The 23,101-nt window shown below is 39.7% G+C and overlaps 1 protein-coding gene across 5 annotated transcripts in view; it reads right to left on the bottom strand.

The window, feature by feature from the left end:
• MAP2K4 (mitogen-activated protein kinase kinase 4) overlaps positions 9,924-23,101 on the bottom strand; it is a 122,952-nt gene continuing 109,774 nt past the window's right edge. For 3 of the 5 annotated variants that reach the window (NM_001281435.2, NM_003010.4, XM_005256753.4), the window contains 2 exons: positions 13,868-13,913; positions 9,924-12,605 (listed from right to left, as the gene is read on the bottom strand). In NM_001281435.2, coding sequence (NP_001268364.1) covers positions 12,492-12,605; positions 13,868-13,913 — 160 coding nt within the window. In that variant the 3' untranslated portion in view covers positions 9,924-12,491. Of the gene's footprint in view, positions 12,606-13,867; positions 13,914-23,101 lie in introns of those variants that run through there. The other 2 variants (XR_007065381.1, XR_007065382.1) reach the window with 2 other exon arrangements.

Genomic DNA, 23,101 nt, shown 5'->3' with positions numbered 1-23,101 from the left:
TGATTGTGTCTATTTGATTCTTCTCTCTTTTCCTCTTTATTAGTCTAGCCAGCAGTCTATTTTATTAATTTTTTCAAAAAGCCAGCTTCTGGATGCATTTATTTTTTGAAGGATTTTTTTTTGTGTCTATCTCCTTCAGTTCAGCTCTGATCTTGGTTATTTCTTGTCTTCTGATAGCTTTGGGGTTTGTTTGCTTTTGGTCCTCTAGTTCTTTTAGTAGTTATGTTAAGTTGTTAACTTGAGATCTTTCTAGCTTTTTGATGTAGGCATTTAGTGCTATAAATTTCCCTCTTAACACTGCTTTAGCTGCATCCCAGAGATTCTGGTATATTGTCTCTTTGTTCTCATTAGTTTCAAAGAACTTCTTGATTTCTGCCTTAATTTCATTATTTACTCGAGTCATTCAAGAGCAAGTTGTTCTATGTATTTGTGTGGTTTTGAGTAAATTTCTTAATCTTGAGTTCTAATTTGATTGTGTTGTTGTCTGAAAGACTGCTGTTATGATCTCAGCTATTTTAATAGCATTTGCTGAGGAGTGTTTTACTTTTGATTATGTGATCAATTTTAGAGTGACTGCCACGTGATGTGGAGAACAATGTATGTTCTGTTTTTTTTGGGTGGAGAGTTCTGTACACATCTATCAGGTCCACTTGATCCAGAGCTGAGTTCAGGATCCAGATCCTGAGTATTGTTGTTAATTTTCTGTCTCAATTATCTGTCTAATATTGCCAGTGGGGTGTTAAAGTCTACCACTAGTAATGTGTGAGTTTAAGTCTCTTTGTAGGTCTCTAAGAATTTGCTTTATGGATCTGGGTGTTCCTGTATTGGGTGCATATACATTTAGGATATATTCAATTCTTGTTGAATTGAACCCTTTACCATTATATAATGCCCTTGTCTTTTTTATCTTTGTTGGTTTAAAGTCTGTTTTGTCAGAAACTAGGATTGCAACCCTTGCGTCTTTCTGTTTTCCATTTGCTTGGTAAATTTTCCTCCATCCTTTTATTTTGAGCCTATGTATGTCTTTGCATGAGAGATGTGTCTCTTGAAGACAGCCTATTGATGAGTCTTGGCTGTTTATCCAGCTTGCCATTCTGTGTCTTTTAATTGGAGCATTTAGCCTATTTACATTTAAGATTAGTGTTGTTAGGTGTGAATTTGGTCCTGTCATCCTAATGCTAGCTGGTTACTTTGCAGACTTGTTTATGTGGTTGCTTCATAGTGTCACTGGTCTCTGTACTTTAGTGTGTTTTTGTAGCAGGTGGTAACAGTTTTTCCTTTCCATATTTAGTGCTTTCTTCAGGATCTCTTGCAAGGCAGGCCTGTTGGTGATGAATTCCCTCATCATTTGTTTGTCTGAAAAAGATCTTATTTCTCCTTCACTTATGAAGCTTAATTTGGCTAAATATGAAATATTGAATTGGAAATTCTTTAAGAATGTTGAATATTGGCTCCCAATTTCTTCTGGCTTAGGGTTTCCACTGAGAGGTCTACTGTTAGTCTGATGGGCTTCCCTTTGTAGGTGACCTGGACTTTCTCTCTGGCTGCCCTTAACATTTTTTCTTCCATTTTGACCTTAGAGAATCTGTTAATTATGTTTCTTGGAGATGACCTTCTCACAGCGTATCTTATTGGGGTTCTCTGCATTTCCTGAATTTGAATGTTGGCCTGTCTTGCTAAGTTGGGAAAGCTCTCCTGGACGATATCCTGAAGTATGTTTTCCAACTTGGCTCCATTCTCCCCCTCTCTTTTAGGTACCCCAATCAGTCATAGGTTCAGTCTCTTTAAATAATCTATTTCTCAGAGATTTTATTCATTAATTTTCACTCTTTTTTTCTCTCTTCTTGTCTGCCTGTTTCAGAAAAATGGTCTTCAAACTCTGAGACTCTTTCCTCCACTTGGTCTATTCTGCTATTGACACTTGTGATTGCATTGCGAAGTTCTCGTATTGTGTTTTTCAGCTCCTTCAGGTCAGTTATGTTCCTCTCAAAACTGGCTATTCTGGCTATCAGCTCCTGTATTGTTTTATCATGATTCTTAGGTACTTTGCATTGGGTTACAACATGCTCCTTTAGCTCAGCAAAGTTCATTATTACCCACCTCTGAAGGCTACTTCTGTCAATTCAGCCATCTCAGCCTCAGCCCAGTTCTGTGCCCTTGCTGGAGAGGTGTTGTGGTCATTTGGAGGAGAAGAGGCACTCTAGCTTTGAGTTTTCAGTGTTTTTGTGTTGATTCTTTCTCATCTTTGTGGACTTATCTACCTTTGATTGTTGAGGTTGCTGACCTTTGAATGGCATCTTTGTGGGGTCTTTTTTCTTGATGTTGTTGTTTTCTGTTTTTCTTTTAACAGTCAGGCCACTCTTCCATAGGACTGCTGCAGTTTGCTGGGGGCTTGCTCCAGACCCTAGTTGCCTCAGTTTTTCCCCATACCTGGAGGTATCACCAGTGAAGGTTATGAAACAGCAAAGATGGTAGCCTGCTCCTTCCTCTGGAAGCTCTGTCCCAGTTGAACAGTGACCTGTTGTCAGCCTGAACGCTCCTGTAGAAGGTGTCTGGAGACCCCTGTTGGGAGGTCTCAGCCAGTCAGGAGGAATGGGATCAGAAACTCACTTAAAGAAACCATCTGGCTGCTTTTTGGTAGAGCAGGTGTGCTGTGTTGGGGGGACTCTTCCTTGCCCAGACCACTTGGACTCTCTAAAGCCATCAGGCTGGAACAGCTGAGTTGATCAATCTGCAGAGATGGTGGCCACCCCTCCCCCTGGATCTCCATCCCAGGAAGAGATCAGAGCTCTGTCCATATAACCCTGGCTAAAGTGGCTGAAGTTCCTGCAGGGAGGCCCCACCCAGTAAGGAGAAATGAATTGGGGTCCCACTGAAAGAAGCAGTCTGGCCACAATCTGGCAAAGCAGGTGTGCTGTATTGTGGGGGACCCTTACTCATCTGGACCATCTGGATTCTCCAAAGCCATCAGGCTGAAATGGCTGAGTCAACCAAACTGCAGAGATGGCGGCTCTCCCTCCGTTCAGGGAACATGGTCCTAACTCAGGCAGACTCCAGCCTGTTGCCATTGGTGGGCTGGAATTCCAAGCCAGTGGGTCTTAACTTGTGAGGTGCCGTGGAAGTTGGACTCACAGAATGATGCTGCTGGGCTCCCTGGATTCAGCCCCTTTCCCCAGGGTATGTACAAACGGGTTTCCCACCTTGCCAGGGATCCTGGGGACAACAGATGTAAAACTCCTGAGTCTCTGTGTGTGTGCCTGAGTGGCCAGTCTGCCAGAACTCCACACAGCTCTGTGTATTGAACCCAAGGCCTTGGTGGCCTGGGCTCATGAGCAGGTCTCCTGATCCATGGATTGCAGAGATCCATGGGAGAAGCATGATTTCCCAGGCAGGGTCGCACATTCACTCATTGCTTCCCTTGGCTGGGGATTGGGGTTCCTTTGGCTCTGTGCCACTCCTGGGTGGGCCATTGCCTCACCCTTCTTTCCTCAGTTCTTCGTGGGTTGTTTGCCTAGTCAGTCACAATGTGAGAACCTGGCGATTTCAGTTAAGGGGCTGAATTCACTCACCGCTTTCATTCCTCTCCATGAGTGCCATGGACAGCAGCTGCTTCAAATAGCCATCTTGGCCTCTCTCTGTGTTTGTGGTTTTTGACTGTGAGCTATTCATTTCCCTTTGAACCTTACCTGTAGTATTCTTTGAGGCCTGAATTGAAGGAGAGTTTCTCAGAAGATAATTTTTATTTGCTTCTATCGGCCACCTACATACTACCAACCTAGGTCCATTTAAATTCTCTGGTTGATGGTTTTGAACCACAGAGATAGTGAATTTAACCATGAACCCACATGGAAGTTGACTTGTGGTTATGGATTCTTGGAAATTTCCTCCAACATACGCCAAGATGAAGGCAAAGATGTTTCAATTCATCTCCAACAGATTGTCATTGGAGATGAATTGAATGTTTATTTTCCTATTTTACAATTTGTATGGAGCCCTTTGGGGTCTCAGCTTTATTGGAGGATTTCCTATTAGATATCCCTCAAAGCTCAAGGTTCCCAGCGTTCAGCAGAAACTTTCAGCATGAAAGACCTACTTGTTGGCACTTGGTTAGGCAAGTTTCAAAGAAAGGCCCTGACATCTTCAGACACAAAAGCTGATCTAGCAAATTCTTAACTTTTCTCTGTCCTCAATTGAAGCAACTCTTCATGCTTTGGAAATGGATTTACTTTCTAGAAAAAAGTAAAAGCAGGTTGGAATTCACAGTCCCTGCTTCTATTTATATGGGAGCTTGACAGATTCCTTATTTTTTTTTTTTTTTTTTTTTTTTGAGACGGAGTCTCGCTCTGTCGCCCAGGCTGGAGTACAGTGGCGGGATCTCGGCTCACTGCAAGCTCCGCCTCCCGGGTTCACGCCATTCTCCTGCCTCAGCCTCCCAAGTAGCTGGGACTACAGGCGCCCGCCACTACGCCCGGCTAATTTTTTGTATTTTTAGTAGAGACGGGGTTTCCCCGTTTTAGCCAGGATGGTCTCGATCTCCTGACCTCGTGATCCGCCCGCCTCGGCCTCCCAAAGTGCTGGGATTACACAGATTCCTTATTTTTGTGCCAGCTCAGAAAAGCATTTAAAAATAAATATTTTCATTTTGTAATTGCCAGTGTAGTTACTCCAATTGGGAGTATAGTTAATACTATATAACCTAGCATTCTGTCAGAAATGGAACACACTAGTACTTTCTTAATGGCTACTGACAATTGACTACTTTTGTTTACACAATACCTAAAATTTGATTGCTAACCTTTGACTGTGTGGTAGGATAGCCCCAATTACAAGCCATATTCACTTTGCATTTAACAGAAGTATGCCATGGATACATTAATCCAATTTATTTTGCATTCTAGGGGAAAATCATCTAAGCTAAATAGAATAAAATGCCATCTTCAACAAATGTGATAAAATCAGGTGTATGTGGCCTTTCTAACAGAAAATCAGTATCATAATATGACAGCCTAGGCTGACTAGAGGACTGGATCATAAATATGACTAAGACTGACTTCAAATTACCAACAATAAGGAAACGTATGAATGACCATAACTCAACATGATCAAATGTAACATAAATATATGTAGAAATACATATTCTGTTCTCTTGAGCTCAAAGAATAGACTTGGGAAAGGGTTCCTAAACTGTCTGACATTAACCTAAGGTCTTAAAAGATGAGTAGGTGCTTTCAAAAGGCAAGTTAAAAAAAAAAAAAAAGAATTCCAGACAAAAGGAACCAGCTTATGCAACAAGAAGGCATAAAAGAGCAAAGCAGATTTGGTAAACCATGAAAGGTTATGAATGGTGCAACAGATGGTATAAAACAACTCAAACCACTCAAACCAGAAAACACTATTCCAGGCTTCTTTACCCCGCACTTTTGATTGGGAATCAATAAAGTATCTCATAAAATTCTCTTTTCTCCATTCCCAATTCTACCACTTTACCTCTCTTTTTACATTTTTTGCCTAAAATATTACAAGTTTTCTAATTGGTGTCCAAGTCTTCCCACTTCCATTTTAGGCTAGTCACTGAAATGAATCGTCTAAAATACAAATCAGATCAAACCATCTCCTTGCTTAAAATCCCATATGGCTCACCAGCACTTAAGAGATAAAGTTCAACATTATTGGCACAATGCACCATTTCCTATATGACTGTCTACCTTTTCAGATTCATGCCCTATTCCTTTTTTCACATTTAACAGAAATTTTTATTAGTTTTTTTATTTCAATAGGTTTTTGGGGAACAGGTGGTGGTTGGTTACATGAATAAGTTCTTTAGTGGTGGTTTGTGAGATTCTGGTGCACCCATGACCCAAGCAGTGTACACTGTACCCAGTGTGTAGTCTTTTATCCCTCATCCTACTCCCATCTTTTCCCCTTTCCTCCGAGTCCCCAAAGTCCACTGTATCATTCTTATGCCTTTGCATCCTCATAGCCTAGTTCTTACTTATGAGAACATATGATGCTTGGTTTTCCATTCCTGAGTTACTTAGAATGATGGTCTCCAATTCCATCCAGGTTGTTGCAAATGCCATTACTTCATTCCTTTTTATGACTGAGTAGTATTCCATGGTATATACACACCACGATTTCTTTATCCACTCATTGATTATCATGCCCTATTCTTGATCCTTCTAGATTGCTCCTTGGCTGTGAAATAGTGGGCAAGTTACCAATCACAGTGAGCCCATTTCCTCATCTTTAAGATGAAGATAAGTCCTACCTATGTGTTCAGGATTAAATAACACTACATCTAAAACCATGAGTTTGGCCTTCATTTTGCATATCCCAGGGATTAATTAAGGAATTTAAGCAGAAGAACATGATGAGAGTAGTACTTTAGAAAGGCTAAGGACAGTAGTGGGGATGGGTCCAAAGGGAGCAAAACCAGAGGTGAGGAATGAATGGAGAGTGGCAATGGAAACAGACAGAAATAAATTGAACCAGAGAAAATTAAGAAACATAATCAAAGAACTTGGTCCCTAATTAGAAGTGGAAGGTGAAAGAGAAAGGACTTATCAGAAAGCAAGTTTTAAAGAAAGGCCCTGACACCTTCAGGAACAAAAACTGATCCTAACAAGTTCTTAACATTTTCTGCTTCTGAATGAAACTATTGTTCATGATTTGAAAATGAATTTACTTTCTACAAACAGACAAAAGTGGGTTGAGATCAAGTCTTATGAACTAAGAAATTAAACTGTGAAATACCATTTAGGATTAAAAGTGAGCAGATGATCAGTAATGTTGCTTCTAATCATGTGCTAAAGGCAATTTTCCAAAGGAAAATGGCTCCAGGGGTTAGAATAAGTGTCGCAGGCAGGAATCATATGTAACTATCAATCTTTTGCTTTTAAACCTTGTAATTCATCGTCAAACGGGAAGCACAGTTTCATAAAAATCCTAACAAGCCAGGTGTGGTGCCTCACGCCTGTAATCCCAGCACTTTGGGAGGCCAAGGAGAGTGGATTAGTTGAGGCCAGGAGTTTGAGACCAGCCTGGCCAACATGGTGAAACCCCATCTCTACTAAAAATACAAAAAATTAGCCAAGAGTGGTGGTAGGTGCCTGTAATCCCAGCTACTTAGGAGGCTGAGGCAGGAGAGTTGCTTGAACCTGGGAGGCAGAGGCTGCAGTGAGCCAAGATCGTGCCACTGCGCTCCAGCCTGGGCAAAAGAGTGAGACCCTGTCACATACACAAAAAGAATCCTAATAAGCCATCAAGAGATCTGAGCTCTATATACCCTCTTGATGTATTACCTTAGGCAAATTACCTAATTATTTAGTACTGTTACGCATGTGTAGGACTGGAGCAACAGAATACCCTTCCTATCTCCTTGAAGAGTGGTGTTCACATTAAATTTGTATAAGAATTAGGAAAAACTGGAAGTCTTAATACTGTTCTTTAGCAGAATGCATATGTAGATAGAAATTTCAAATGCAGACAGAAATTTGATTCATCATGCATTACAATTACTGAATTGTGACTATATGCTATATGGGTTAACAAGTTTTAAATAGCAGGACTACATTTTACATTTAAGATGTATAAATACATTTTGGCATATCAGAAAAACAAAACAAAATGTTATCAAAAGCAGATACTGAACCACTATCTTTATGATTTCAAGGCTTGAGATGAGAATTTCTGGATATTCACGTATCGAAAAGATGGGAAGAACCAAGATATAAAGATAACTTCAGTCTGTACTAAATTACCAGAAGACAAGCTGTTTCCCATTCTACAGGTGTTCCTTCTATGATGTTGTCCAGTGTCAATTTTCCATGACGTGGTTCTTACAGTTCATCCTAAGAGTTATTACTGCAGATTACATTTTCCCTCAACCACTTAATGAGGTATTTAAAACCAAGCCAGTACGTTTAAGACAAAGCCTTTAGATTCTCTGTCCCTCACATCCCAAGCAATAAGCCCAGGAACAATGGATGTGACTGGTGCAGACAGCCCTGCACAAGAGATGGAGACACATAATCTCTACACACTGCCAAGAAAAGTAACCAGTGTCCCAACGGTACTTTCAAGACCTTATGTGTCCTTTCTCTATCCTCCTGCAGCTAAGACAGTTGGATCGAATCAATTAAAGGGAAGTCGGGCATGCTGGCTCTTTGTAATCCCAGCACTTTGGGATGGCGAGGCAGGTGAATCGCCTGAGGTCAGGAGTTCGAGACGAGCCTGGCCAACATGGCGAAACCACATCTCTACTAAAAATACAAAAAAAAAATTAGCTGGGTGTAGTGGCAGGCGCCTGTAATCCTAGCTACTTGGGAGGCTGAGGCAGGAGAATCACTTGAACCTGGGAGGCAGAGGTTGCAGTGTGCTGAGATTACGCCATTGCTCTCCAGCCTGGGCGACAAGAGTGGGACTCCATCTCAAAAAAAAAAAAAAAAAAGAAAAGAAAAAGTTACCTAGGTGTGGTGGTGTGCACCTGCAATCCCAGCTACTCGGGAGGCTGAGGCAGAATTGCTTGAACTCCGGAGGCAGAGGTTGCAGAGCCAAGATCACATCATTGCATTCCAGCCTGGGCAACAAGAGCAAAACTGTCTCAAAAAATAAAAAATAAATAAAATAAATGAAAGGGCACTTTACTCATTCTCAGTGATTGCCACATTATCATGCTAATGGAGACGTTCAGTCCATGACACTGAATTCTCAGGTGTTTGCACTGAAGAATTACAACCTAGAGTTCCTCTAGTTAATTCTAAGGTAATTACACAGTTGCCTTTGTATGGATCGCTTTGTATGTTAAGCCCCACTGTGGCCCCCAGAACCTCTGCCTTCAACTCATTTCCAAAACAACAAAGCAGGCCCTGGTCAGGTTTATGAACAGAGTATCCTCAACTATATTCATTCTTCCACTTCTCAACTCCACAACACTTCTTTAATAGCAGTGTTTTTAAATTAATGTAACTTCTTAGGGTACGTGTTACGGCCTTGAATTTGAATCTCAGCTCTGCTCCCTACTGTTATTTGAGCCAGAACTTCACTCCTTCGGACCTTGGTTTTCTTGTATCTAAAAGGGGATACAGCCACTTGATTTTAGTGGGATGCATTTGGAATCAAATGAGATGAACAAATACAAGGCAGTGTCCTATGAAACATGGAGTGTGTAGTCTATCTCTCATGCCAGTATTGAAACCCAATGGGTACCCTTTCCCTTAGCAGCTGAGGTTAGCTGGAGAGGCCAGAATTCCTGCTTTCACACCCCTCTCAGGGGAATGTTTGATACCACATCTGGCTGTGTAATAGTATCTCAGGTACAGTTAGGAGCAGGCACAAGGGCAAGGTGCTGAATCACCATAATATCAATGAATCTGTTATCTGATCAATCACTGGTAGGAGGTAGAGTACAGCAGATACATTCAGTGCTGGAGCCGCAAAGTGCTTTTCTCCAACAGTTTTCAGGCTCCCATGGCTTTTTGTTCACTTCCATTGTCCTCTCATCCATAAACCTCCCATGTCTGACCTCCAGACGTCTTCTACCCACAATCCTCCCTACCCTTCTAAGGTAACAGTGAGTGATTCCAACCCAGTATCTAACCTGACATCTAATGCTCACCTGGCAGCTGAAGCACCAAGAGCGGAGAGCATGGCTGGAAACCATACACGGGGCCCAGATAGACTTATAAGTTGTACCTCTCCACCATGACACAGGTTGAAGAACTGTACCCACTTCCTTTAGCATTAAGAATGCTGGGGCAGGTCAGGACAACAAACAAAGAAACTCAAGAGACTGTGACACCTGTTCAAGCAAAGCTATGCTTAACAGATACATCTGTGGTTTCAAGAAGGATAAGCAAAAAGGGTAGCCATGGGAAGGAAGAAGAAAAAGAAAGCAGCCATAAAACACTTCCAAAAGGAGGTCATTTTCCCTGGTGTGAAATGCACAGATAATTTAATGTAATTTACTTTAAGATTTTCCCCTCTCAGGGTCTGATTTCAGAAAATCAAATTACAAAGTCATCATCACATCCTAGATTTATTACAACTGACCTGCAGGCAAAAGGATAGAACTATTACATAAACACTTCGATTCCATGTATATATCTTAAATAGAGGAGGAATTCAAACAAGAATACAGGATAAAATATTCCAAAGCTCCAAGAAGCAGTTATGTTACTGAGCTCCATTTTTTACAGACAAATAAGGCAATATCCCTGCACATTAGCTTTTTGATAATTTTTATACATTTTTCTATGGTACAAGAGAAAAATAACCAGAGCTCACAATGTACAGTTCTTACACTATTTTCACAGTTTGTGAACACTATACACCCTTTTGTTTTAATAAAGATACATTGTAATAAACTCCTTGCCCTTAAGTTTATAGTTTATAATAATCTATGATTAATACACTAAAATTGCCTTCTTATGTGGTCATCCACACAATAGAACGGTCAGATTAGCTCCTGGACAGTCAGAATTGCTTTTATCTCCATTTGCATAATGGCAAAGTGACCCTATGCTGAGCCAGATGGGAAGTTGACAGCAGAGAAACAGATTCCTCTTGAGTCCCCGGGAGCAATGGAGGATGATGGCTTGCTGTGGTCGAAGGCAGACATAGAGCAATGTCTCCTTTCAGAACAGTGGGAAGTCTAAAGTTTAGGATACCGTGGGGGAGAAGATAGGGAAATGAGGCAAGTAGATCAAAGAGATAATCACTTTTGAATTCTGCAATTTACAGGGATGTGACTTTAAACAGCACCATTCTCCCTTTATTGTTTGACAGTATTTATGACTGTCACTCTGAGAGGAGACACAGCAATACGTGCCACGATTTGGTTCTGTAATGGCATCACCTGCATCTCAGGCCATGACTGTTTTATATTCCAGTGTGCTTGAACCACTCACAGTGCTGCTTCACTGTCATACAAAGCCTAAGGTTCAGTGCCAGGGAGGCCCAAGCAAAACCTAATGAGAACCTGGCTAATGGGTAAGTGAAGAAGCACAAGATACTTAAATGGCCTCTTGTAACAGTGCTGAGGGTTTTGTTTTGCTTTTTGTATTTTTTTCCAGTAGAATTCCAATGCCAAGAAATGGTGATGGACTACGAGAGGTTCTAGCAGGTGATGAACGTAAAGGCTGCCGTTTCGGATCCTCATCTGGTCCAATGTGTCTCTAGAAAAGATGCCTCTTTATCACCTACCACATCGGCTGGGCCCCACTATTCTTAGCCTTTTAAACACTAGCGAATATGAGAGATTTGGGGCTAAAAATCCTTGGTAAGGAACATCCCTGCTAACTGTAAAGGTTTTTTGATATAGAAAAAAGGCAAAATATTGGATTAAGCGCAAGTCACATAGCGACAATAGACCACAGGGGAAGGGAAAGAGATTCGGAAACTGAAGACCTGGACCAGTGATGGCAAGAAGCAAACAACTGAGATTTGGTCTTTTGCTGCCTACTAGAAATCTTTATCTAATCAATCAAGGCACATTGCTACTAGCTACTTCTCCCTGTTAGTGAGTTATGATGGCTAAAGTATCAGGCTTGGGACCAAGGGGAAATATATAGCTGCTACAAGTTGTTCCAGATAAAATACTAGAATTAAAAACATCTGTAAACTTTGCCTTCTGTACTGTTTTCTTCTTTCAGTCCTGGTGGTTTGTGGCAGGTGGAACATCAAGTTGGCAGCACACCGAATTCTGAGAATGAAAAATTCTTAGGATCAGCACCTTCTTTGACAAGTGGCAGACTCCTGAGTCTTCCCATTGAAAAATAGGACTGGTAAAGGAGAAAAGAACACATTCTGTCCTGTCTCTATATTTTAATGTTCACCTCTTTGAACGCAACATGGTTTTTGGTAAAGATAAATTCATTCTAATTTAACATGATATTTCAAACAGGAAATTTGGCTGAGCACATCGATCCCCAAACATCAACTGTAACTGTAAAGCAACAGAATATCACATCAGTAATCTATTGCACTTGGTGAAGAAAGTAAATTCCTCCTTTGTCTCCCAGCTCCAGAAGGCAATGTGTCTCGTTGGCTGTGCAAGCTCTTCTCACTCAAGCCCGAGTTTCTATGTTCAGACATAGTACATTCATCACTGTGTCCTTCCAGGATTTGGAAGTCTGACAAAACACCATTCCAGTAGCTGCATCTCCAGGTTTTGAGTCTAGAAATGAATTTAAGATGTGATCTAATCACAGTCAACAACTTGATCGTACTGACTTCCACATTTCATGAATATGTTCATCACAAAAGAGCAGGATGAGGTCTCTCTGACCAGCACTAACACTGTGTGATCAATCAGGTATTACAAGGATGCACGTTCTAGGTGACAGGAGTATACAGACATGATGGAAACGAACACCAATCTTATTGCACATGGTGTCTGGGCGAGCAATAAAAACACTGTGATACGGGATGAAAATTCTTTACGTCTTGCTTCCTCTCAGCCCTTTTTTCTAGAGTCTGATGTAGCAGCGATATCAATCGACATACATGGGAGAGCTGGGAGTAGCTGGCATTTGATCCAGGATTTTACAAACATAGCATGCGACCTCAACGGCACGTTCTTCATACATCAAAATAAAGGGATGTTTCTGCAAGAAAATTGAAAACAAAAAAGTCAAAAGTTTGTATGACAGCCCAAACTGAACATTTTCCAATTTCTATAGAACATAGAACTCCAGGCTCCCAACCACACATAGCTATGAAATACCGCAACACTACAAGTTCAGAGAGGCGAGTACAGCCTTTATTCCATGCAGATATGCTAATGGGCATGGGCATGCCTAGAGAGAGGATACGTGGTAATGATCTGAAGGTGCCACCTTGGCAGTGAGGTCTGGAAACTCATCTGTATACCAGGGAGTGTTTGTTGAGGAAGACAGCCAAGTTGTCACTCAGCACAAAACATAGCTGGAGCCTCCACCACACCATCTAAGAGCTAAGAAGAATGACGCAAATGCCAGTCACTATTCCTCTTGGGACACCAATATAAATCTCAACCTCCATTTCTCCTATATACAACAGGAGGACCTTTTTACAAAAAGGTCGCAATCCTTTTGACCTCTTCTTTTGACCTTTTAACAAAAAGGCTGTAATTCTTTTGACCAAAAGAGGCCCAAGAGAAATTTGCCCCAGGAGCTTCTTCCCTGTACTCTCCAGAGCCAGGGTCCCAGTATCTGCTTCACTAACCCACCTTTTAAAACTCCATCTCTAGCAACAGTTTTCTTTTACAGACTAAGTATGTTGACTAGATATTTTTACAGTCATTGGTGGACTGTGATATAAGTTTGTCACAACATCCTTGAAGAGCTAGTAGTTAAATGTGACAAACAAATGGATCTTTTCTTAAAATATTCCCACATTATTAGATCACAACACTTTCTCCCTGCCCCACCAATGCCATACCCAGTAGACTGCTTAAAACACCCAAGTTCCATGGGATGAATGAGAACTTTCAAAGAAATGGGAATAGGCTATATGACGTAAATTTGCATGAATTTTATAAAGGCAGAATAAACACAAATTTTCACTAATTTTTTTCTTATGGCTGCATCCCATATAAATAGACTATGCAGTGGAAAATGGCTTCTTAAAGTCAGAATTCTTTGGGGGTAATTTTTATAACATGTTAAGACCAAAATTTTCCATGAGAATTTAGCTAGTATTAGTAGAAAAATTATAACTGCAAATTTTCTCTTTCCAAATCTTTGTGTAAAAACATTAACAAAAAACACTCAATAAATTTGAGATGTTTGTTTATGACAGAGAGGCCCACTGCTTGCTTAGTGAACCAGCATGTTAAGAGAGTTCCGGGGTTAGGATGTACCTACAATCCCCACAGTCCCACACTCACCAGAAGCTCTTTATACTTTGGCCTTTTGGATTCATCCTTCGTAAGGCTAAAATAACATAAAAATAACATTATTAAAATGTAGATTCATTTGCCTAAGTATTTTTCTTTTCACAGATGAAATATTACAAATAATGAAATAGTTCTTTCCTTCAGATCCAAAGTAACAACGCAGACAGCCTGCTAAACACAGTAAAAGCACATACAAAAAATTGTGAGTCTATAATCTGAAGATTTATCTCTAGGATAGTCAGTGTAGGATGATTAGTTAAAAATTAGAAAAAATATTAATTCTTGAAAATTGACTAAATTATGGCATAGCTACACAGAATACTACAGTTAAATATATAAATGTTTTATAAGTATAAAATTATTTGTGTACATATATGCTTTTCTAAATGTAAATAAATAAGTAGACAGATATTTATGCAGATACTACCCAAGAGAAACCAGCAATCAAGTAATTCTGGGAGATAAATTACATATACATTTTTATCAATTTATCCTTAAGTTTTAAAAAAGTTTATACTCTGTATCTCAATATGTTCTTTGGTCCAAAAGTTTAAAACAATATAACTTCACTGAAGACTACATCAGTATATAAAAATGTCTGCTCTGTTGACATTTTCTCCTTGAATTCTACCTTGCCTAATTAAAGCTGCCAAAAGTATTTTCATTTTGTTTATATTTACCTCATCTATCTTGGCCCATATCTTAATCACCATTCCCTTCCAACCTCAATTAATATTTTACTATCAAACATGAATTAATATGGGTAACATAGTTCACCTCTTTCTAAACTCATTGCTGTTTTCCATATCCCACACCTTCTGTAACAGATACTGCAATGTGCTATGTAGATTCCCTCTTTAAGAAGGAAGGACTTATTCTTCCACTGTGGGGCAAGCCGCCAGCAGACAACCCTTTACTATCGGCCTCTTCAGGATTACCACAGCTAAAGACAGCCACCTTAGCCCTCCTGGGACAGTCCATCTCTAATGACTGATCCACAAAAGTGAATAAAAATCCAAGACCCTCATTCCAAGGCAGGTCAACACAGAGTTGGCTGAGGCCTTCAATGACATGGCACTGCAACTGAACTTCTTCTGCCCAATCTCGTTTCCTTCTCATTGGTAGTGTTGATCCCAAGATCACTACCTAGTCAACTTCCTACACTCTTATCTCTGTCTCAAAAGCCTGCTTTCCAGGCATCCAACCTGTGACATCCTTCTTCTGGGTTAACTTCTCTTCTTGGTCAAGTACAGATGGCCCTTGAGCAACACAGATTTCAACTGTACAAATCCACTTATACATGGATTTTTCTTCTGCCTCTGCCACCCGAGATAGCAAGACCAACTCCTCCTCTTCCTCAGTCTATTCAATGTGAAGACAAGGATGAAGATCTTTATGATGATCCACTTCCACTTCATAAATAATATATTTTCTCTTCCTTATGATTTTCTTAATAACATTTTCTTTTCTCTAGCTTACTTCATTGTAATAATACAGTATATAATACATATACAAAATATATGTTAACTATGTTATCAGTAAGGCTTCTGGTTGACAGTAGGCTATTTGTTAGTAGTCAAGTTTTGGGGTAATCAAAAGTTATATGCGGATTTTTGACTGTACAGGGGGTCAGCATCCCTAACCTCCACACCATTCAAGGATCAAAGCAGTCTATAAATTGTAAGTGCTCAGTCTTCCCATTCCTAAAACTGTATTTCTTCCTTACTGTGAATATTTGAGTGTCTGAGTCTAAAACTTTAGGACCAGGCTGACAATTATTTTCCCTCAGCACTCTGGTGCTGTGACTCCACTTTTTCCTGCAACTATTGTGGCTGGGAACAAATCTGCTGTTAGTCTTATTATCAATCCTTAACAGATAATCTGTTTTCTCTTCCTGATATTGCTCGGTAATTTTGCTTCAATACATAAATGATGATAAACAAAGGTATAAATTTAAAGGTAAATTTAAATATAAATTTAAAAGGTAAATTTATACCTTTGTTTATCATTTATGCACTGAAGCAAAACTACAGAATATCAATTAAAATTTACTTTTAAATTTATATTTAAATTTACCTTTAAGCTTATACCTTTGTTTATCCTACATGATAAAGAGACTTCACTTTCAATCTGAAAACCTATACTAAATCAGTTCTCAAATGTTTTCTTTCCCCTATGATCTCTGTAAACATTGCTTCTCCACTTTCAGAGTTGCCTTCTTTATTTCCATTACATGCATCTTAGAACCTCTAACTCTGCAATCTGTTCTGATTCTTCACTGCTTTTCATATAATCTGTGCCATGCTGGGGGAACGTCTCAGCTCCTATTTCCCTAATTTTGTCTTCAATTATTTCCAGTCTAGAGAACATCAAGTCTGTTGTGTCTTTTATATCAACAGCTATGATTTTTCCATTTCCAAGACTTCTATTTCCAACCACTTTATTTCTTCCTCAGTTTTAATTGAATTTATACCTTTATTTCCTTGAGCATCCTAAATATACTGATTTTCTTTTACAGCATATTTCAGACAATTTCATAAATCTATTTCAACTTAAAGTAAGTTTCTGTTCCATTTTGTTAAATGCTTTCTTAGCATTACACTTCAGTATTCAAGAATTATGATTTGCAGACTCATTTTGAAATAACATGTTTACCCTCCATGCATATCCATTCATTTGTTCAACATATGTCTGAGTGCCCCACTAATCACTATGAACTGAACTGGGAGCCAGGGATACACACATAGAGCAGTTTTACAGTTGCCTCTATTTCACAGGGCCACCAGTATCAAACAGGGTCCTGTAATGGACCTTTCAAGTTCCACTCCTATGTTGGTATTAGGACAATTACAGTTCCAGTCCTCTGGTTGCAAAACCAGTATCTAAAGCCTTGTCATTGTGTAGTACCATAGCTTGCTTAAAGCTGTGGCCCAGGAAGTAACTGATATCATTTTTTTCATTCTCCAGAATGAAAAATGACCTGGAATACAGCAAGTCCATGGCATCAGATCTACACAGCATTCTGTCAGTATTTTTGTTGCATTTTTTCACCCACACAGAGGTTTGCTTTCTTTGTAAAGCTGCCATACCTTTCTGGTTTTGTGTTTTTCTATTTCATCTACTGGAGCAGAAAATTATGTCAGTGTATAAACTTATGATGCTATTTGGGTTGAAATCTTAAACTATTAACATTGACTGTCTTCTTTTTCTGAATTACAGCTGACACTAATAATGTTATCAATAATTATATTAGCTCCCCTTAGACTATCTAATAAGGTAGCCGTTAGCAAACTTAATTCCAATAAAAAATGCATTTCCTTAGTTACATTAGCCACATTTCAAATGCCAGCAGCTACCACACTAGACAGAGCAGATTATAGGACATTTCCAGCATCTCAAAAAGTTTTATTGGGAGAGCTTCAGCTCTGTCTTCTAGTTCATTAATCTCTCTTCAATGATATCTAATCTGTTGAATGCAGCTATTGTTTTAATTTATGCTTTTTATTTCTAGAAGTTCTATTTGGTTCTTTATAAATGTGTTCCCTGCTTATATTTCTAAGCTGCCTCTTTTTCTTTAAACTTATTTTTTGTTTCCTTTCATTCCAATATTTGAAGCCTTTGCAGATCTATTCCTACTATCCATTGTTTCTGATTCTCATTTCTTTTGTGAGTGTTGAGATTTTTTTGTGGACTACATATTCCACTTGACTTTATTTTTTGGAATCATTTAGTCCTAGGCTGAATGATTTGCTTTTGCTTCTGCCCATCAACTGGGGGCAAGAGGAGCATATCTTTCCAACCAGGGACTCTGAAAAGTAATTTTTCTTAAAATTAAATTCTCTAAGTATTTTTACCATATTCAATATGAATTTAGATGGCAAATCTACATTTGCTTGGGTTATCCTTTAATTTACTTTGACTCTTCCTTCTCTCCCATAATCTCCCTCCCTGAATTTCAGTCAACTTCAGAGCTCCATGGATTCCTCAGTTTTGCACCAACTCTTTTACATTTTAAGAGGGACTTTAGGTGGGGCACGATGGTTCACCCCTGTAATGCCAGAACTTTGGGAGGCTGAGGCAGGCGGATCACCTGAGGTCAGGAGTTCGAGACTAGCCTGGCCAACGTGGCAAAACCCTGTCTGTACTAAAAATACAAAAATTAGCTGGGAGTGGTGGTGCGTGCCTGTAGTCCCAGCTACTCAGGAGGCTGAGACAGGAGAATCACTTGAACCTGGGAGGTGGAGGCTGCAGTGAGCCAAGATCATGCCACTGCACTCCAGCCTGTGCGACAGAGCCAGACTCTGTCCTAAATAAATAAATGGCACTTTAAAATGCTTATCCAGGCCAGGTACAGTGGCTCACGCCACTGTAATCCCAATACTCCGGGAAGCCGAGGCAGGAGGATCGCTTAAGCCTAGGAGTTTAAGACCAACCAGGGTAATACAGTGAAATCCAGTCTCTACAAAAATTTTTTTAAGAAATTAGCCAGGTGGGCCAGGCGCAGTGGCTCGCGCCTGTAATCCCAACACTTTGGGAGGCCGAGGCAGGCGGATCACCTGAGGTCAAGAGCTGACCAACCTGACCAACATGGAGAAACCCCAACTCTACTAAAAATACAAAATTAGCCAGGTGTGGTGGTGCATGCCTGTAATCCAGCTACTCTGGAGGCTGAGGCAGGAGAATCACTTGAAACCGGGAGGTTGAGGCTGCGGTGAGCCGAGATCATGCCATTGCACTCCAGCCTGGGCAACAAGAGCAAAAGTCCGTCTCAAAACAAAAAAGCAAAAAACAACAAAAAAACAAAAATTAGCCAGGTGTAGTGGCACATTCCTGTAGTCCCAGCTACTCGGGGGGCTGAGATGGGAGGATCGCTTGAGCCTGGGAAGTTGAGGTTGCAGTAAGCTGCAATCATGCCACTGCACTCCAGTCTGGGTGACAGAGTGAGTGAGACCCTATCTCAAAATAAATAAAATAAAAAGCTTATCCAGCATTTTAGTAGTTTCAGTGCAAGTGTTGTCCAAGATATCTAATGCACCAAAGTAATGTGAAGTAACCACATTCCTCCTGTTATAGCTGTTTCTCTGCTCTTCAGGTATTGCTGACTTGGTGTTTTGTGTACATTTGTGTGCATGTGTTTTAATTGAAAACTTGTCAAGTCTTATCTTTTCTCAGAACACATCTAGATGTGGCTTCCCTCTACTCTCTTGTTTAATTTGGTCTGGTATTTTAATCTAAGAACTTGAGTTATTCTTCAAGTAGAAGGAATTTTAATTTTAATTCTTTGTCTACAATCAGCTAAATAGAATATTTTGGATTTTTCTTCTCTCTTACCATTTACCTCATGTTCATCTTTTTAGCCCTTTATTCTTAAAGATTAACTAAACGGTGTTACTTACAGATCTGGTTAACCTGCAATACTCAATCTGCTGTGTGCCACCATTTTCCCCCATTCAGTTCAGGAATCATGTTTACTATCTGAAGATAACGTTTCTGGAATTCAAATTATTCCCTCCTTACAATTTTTTACCTTGTTTTTTTTTCTGTGACATTTTAAAGGAAATATTTGTTTAGATTTCTTAGGTACAATTCTCCGAATCACTGAAAGTTTTCATCTGTTAGTGATTTTTCTTTATCACAGTTAATCTCAGCTATGGATTCAGGTTAACTGTGAGAAACAGGTGGAGAGCCATCATTGCAGTATCATCACCTAGGTGGAGAGCCATCATTGCAGTATCATCACCTAGGTGGAGAGCCATCACTGCAGCATCATCACCTACTATAGGGATTTAATTTTTGCATTTGCTCTAACAGCATGCACTGTGCTCCCGCCCTCTAACCAACACAGGCGTTGTTGTTAGAAGTTATTTCAGCAAAGCTTGAGCTTTTCTTTACAGGTCTTGCTGCTAAGAGAAAGGCAGGAGTAGATACTACTACACTGTCCCAGCTGCCTGTGAGATCTAGCACAGAAGGCATTTCCTCAAGACATTTCAGGATCGAGCTTTACTGCCTAATTAGTTGCACAATTAGGCAGTCCCACAAGTTGCCTCTTCTTCCAGGTCTGCTGCCCAAGCTACAGAGTTGTATATGGGTCTTATATCGTCCTAGTGACTTTTTATATTCCCCTCTGCACACGATAAATTTTGGATTAGGCAATCCATCCCTGAATTCAGTCTTATCCCCATCCAGAGTTTCACAAAAATTCCTCAAGAATAACATTTTTTGTTTTTTCTTCCCCCAGGACAAATAAAGAATTTTTCCCCTAAAAAAAATTCCAATGGTGATTTCAATAGATAGTTAAATTGGGAAACAGTTTAAAATATGGGCTGAGATCTGAGGAGAGCAAAATCACTTGGTGACCACTGAACAGGCCCTAGAGACAAAAATTCCTTATCTGAGGAATGCAGAAGGAGCAAAAACCACCCGATGACTATCCAACAGGCAATCTAGAAGCAAAATTCCTTATCTGGGGAAAATCAGAAGTAATTAAACTTCCCAGCCTGGCGCAGTGGCTCACGCCTGTAATCCCAGCACTCTGGGAGGCTGAAGCGGGCGGATTACTTGAGGTCAGCAGTTCAAGACCAGCCTGGCCAGTGTGGTGAAACCCCATCTCTATTAAACATACATAAATTAGCCAGGCATGGTGGCATGAGCCTGTAGTCCCAGCTACTTAGGAGGCTGAGGCAGGAGAATCGCTTGAACCTGTGAGGCAGAGGTTGCAGTGAGCTGAGATCGCGCCACTACACTCCAGCCTGGGCGACAGAGCAAGGCTCCATATTAAAAACAACAACAACAACAACAACAACAAAACCCAAGAAGTAATCAGACTTCCCTATTATCTAAAGCAGGCATTGGTTCCAGATTTTTTCCCCAAAAAAACTTTGTAAGTAACTAGAATTTCTATACATCTCCAGAATGCCATGTCGAAATTCACTGTGCAACACTTGCTGACATTAAGGAACCAAAATTACTACAAATGTAATCATTTATTGTTACCTACATGGCTAATATGGTCCAAATTATCCTCAAGCTTTAAGGTCCATAAATACCCCTAAGGAAAAATCCACTGTGGCACGCTCAGCACCCTTCTGCACTCTTCTGCAGCATACTTTCTTTCTAATAAACTTTCCTTTTTCAAACCTATACTGTTGTCTGTAAATTCTTTTTATCAACCCACGAGTCGACCATTTCCCAATGCTGAGCGCTCAGACACCTCAGTCGGCAAGGTCTTCCTTTTGAACCATTAAGTCTTATCCTTTTTTTTTTTTCCTTAGGAAAACTTTTAATCGAAGCAGACATACAGAAAACACAACTCCTAAGTGCAGAACTAAAAAGTAACAATATTCTGACTTCCAATACCTTATATTGTTTGCTTTTAACTTTCATATAGAAATAGAACCATACATACTGCTTTCTGTCTTCTTTCACTCAACATCATTCGTGAGATTTACTGAAGTTGCTGAGTGAAGCAATGGTTCTATCTTCTCTGATGCTATATACTGCTGTATACATAATGCTACAATTTATTATCTGTTCTACTGTGGAGAGAGTTTCTAATTGTAGGTTATAAATGTGCTTTTCCGGACATTCTTACATATGTCTTTTAGTGTATTTATGTCCACACTTTTGTTGGGTATATAGTCAGAACTTGAATTGCTGAACCATGGTGTATACATCAACCATATTAGATCAGCTATACTGGATACTGCTTGTTTTTCAAAGGAACTGTACTAATTTATACTCCTACAAGTTATGTATGAGACTTCCAGTTGCTTCAGATCCTCACCAATATTTGGTACTGTCAGTATTTTAAACTGTGGTCATTCTGGTAATTATAGTGGTATTTCACTGTAGTTCTGACCTGCATGTCTCCTGATTACTAATAATGCAGAATGAATGCAGTAAATTGAATATGTTTACTGGCCTCTTGAATATCATCTTTAAAGTGCCTTTCAAGTATTTTGCTATTTTTGGTTGTTATTTTTCATAAGTGTTTTACATTTTTAAGTATTCTTTACATATTCTGTGTAAAAGTCCTTCGTCGAATATAAGTATGAAAAATATCTCCTTCTACTGTGTGGCTTGGCATGTCATTCAGTGCTGTCTTTTAATCAATGGAAGTTCTTAATTTTAATGAAATCCATTTTTTTTTAATCAATCTTTCTCTTAGGTTTGGCTACTTTCTACGTTCTGTTTCAGAAATCTTTACCCAAACGTAATGAAAACATTCTCCCATATTATCCTGTATGTGCTTTTAATTTATGTAACTGAAGAAATTCAGTTTGGCAGAAACCATTCAAGGAGAGGGAAGTCATGAGAAATGTGGCTAGAGCGGGCCGGGGGCAGTGGCTCATGCCTGTAATCCCAGCGCTCTGGGAGGTCGAGGCGGGCAGATCACGAGGTCAGAAGTTCGAGATCAGCCTGGCCAACATGGTGAAAACTGTCTCTACTTAAAAAAAAAAAATTAGCTGGGTGTGGTGGCAGGTGCCTGTAATCCCAGCAGTACTCAGGAGGCTGAGGCAGAAGAATCGTTTGAACCCGGGAGGTGGAGGTTGCAGTGAGCTGCGACCACATCATTACACTCCAGCCTGGGCAACTGAGACTCCATCTCCAAAAAAACAAGAAAGAAAAAAAAAAAAAAAAAGAAATGTGACCAGAGCAATAAACTAAGTCCAGATCGTAATGGGTTCTGAAAGCCTAAATTAATTAATTTTAAGGACAAGAGGAAGTCTCTATAGAATAGTATCTCTCAGTATTTTTTTCATTATTTATCCTCCCCATCATGAAATTTAAATATGATAGATATAGTGCATATCTGTTTATATTCTATGGCCCTTTGGAGGACTAAAAACCATTATACAACCTAAGATTTTCATTTCTCCAAAATCAATTTTTGCCTCCTTAGGGTCAATATCACCCTGCTAAGAATGCATACTTTAGATAGAGAAGTAACATGATCAGATATACATCATAAAAAATACAACTCTAATAAAAAGGGGAATAATTTGGAACAAGACAATATTGGATTATAAGAAAATCAATATTGGATTATGAGAAATCTGAATGATCCAGGTTAGAGATTACAGGCAATGTCCAAGACAAAGAGTGGCAGAAAGAATGGACAAATGTGGAGAGCTAATATGAGCATATTATGAACATAAGTACACTTCAATGTAGACCTTAATGATTTGCAATGACATGGAACTATGAACCTACTCAGGGAAAACA

This window comes from Homo sapiens, chromosome 17 (genome assembly GCF_000001405.40).
Source record: "Homo sapiens chromosome 17, GRCh38.p14 Primary Assembly".
NCBI classification, from domain to species: domain Eukaryota; kingdom Metazoa; phylum Chordata; class Mammalia; order Primates; family Hominidae; genus Homo; species Homo sapiens.
The sequence above is the reverse complement of the archived record's forward strand: the minus strand, read 5'-3'. Positions and strand labels throughout refer to the sequence as shown.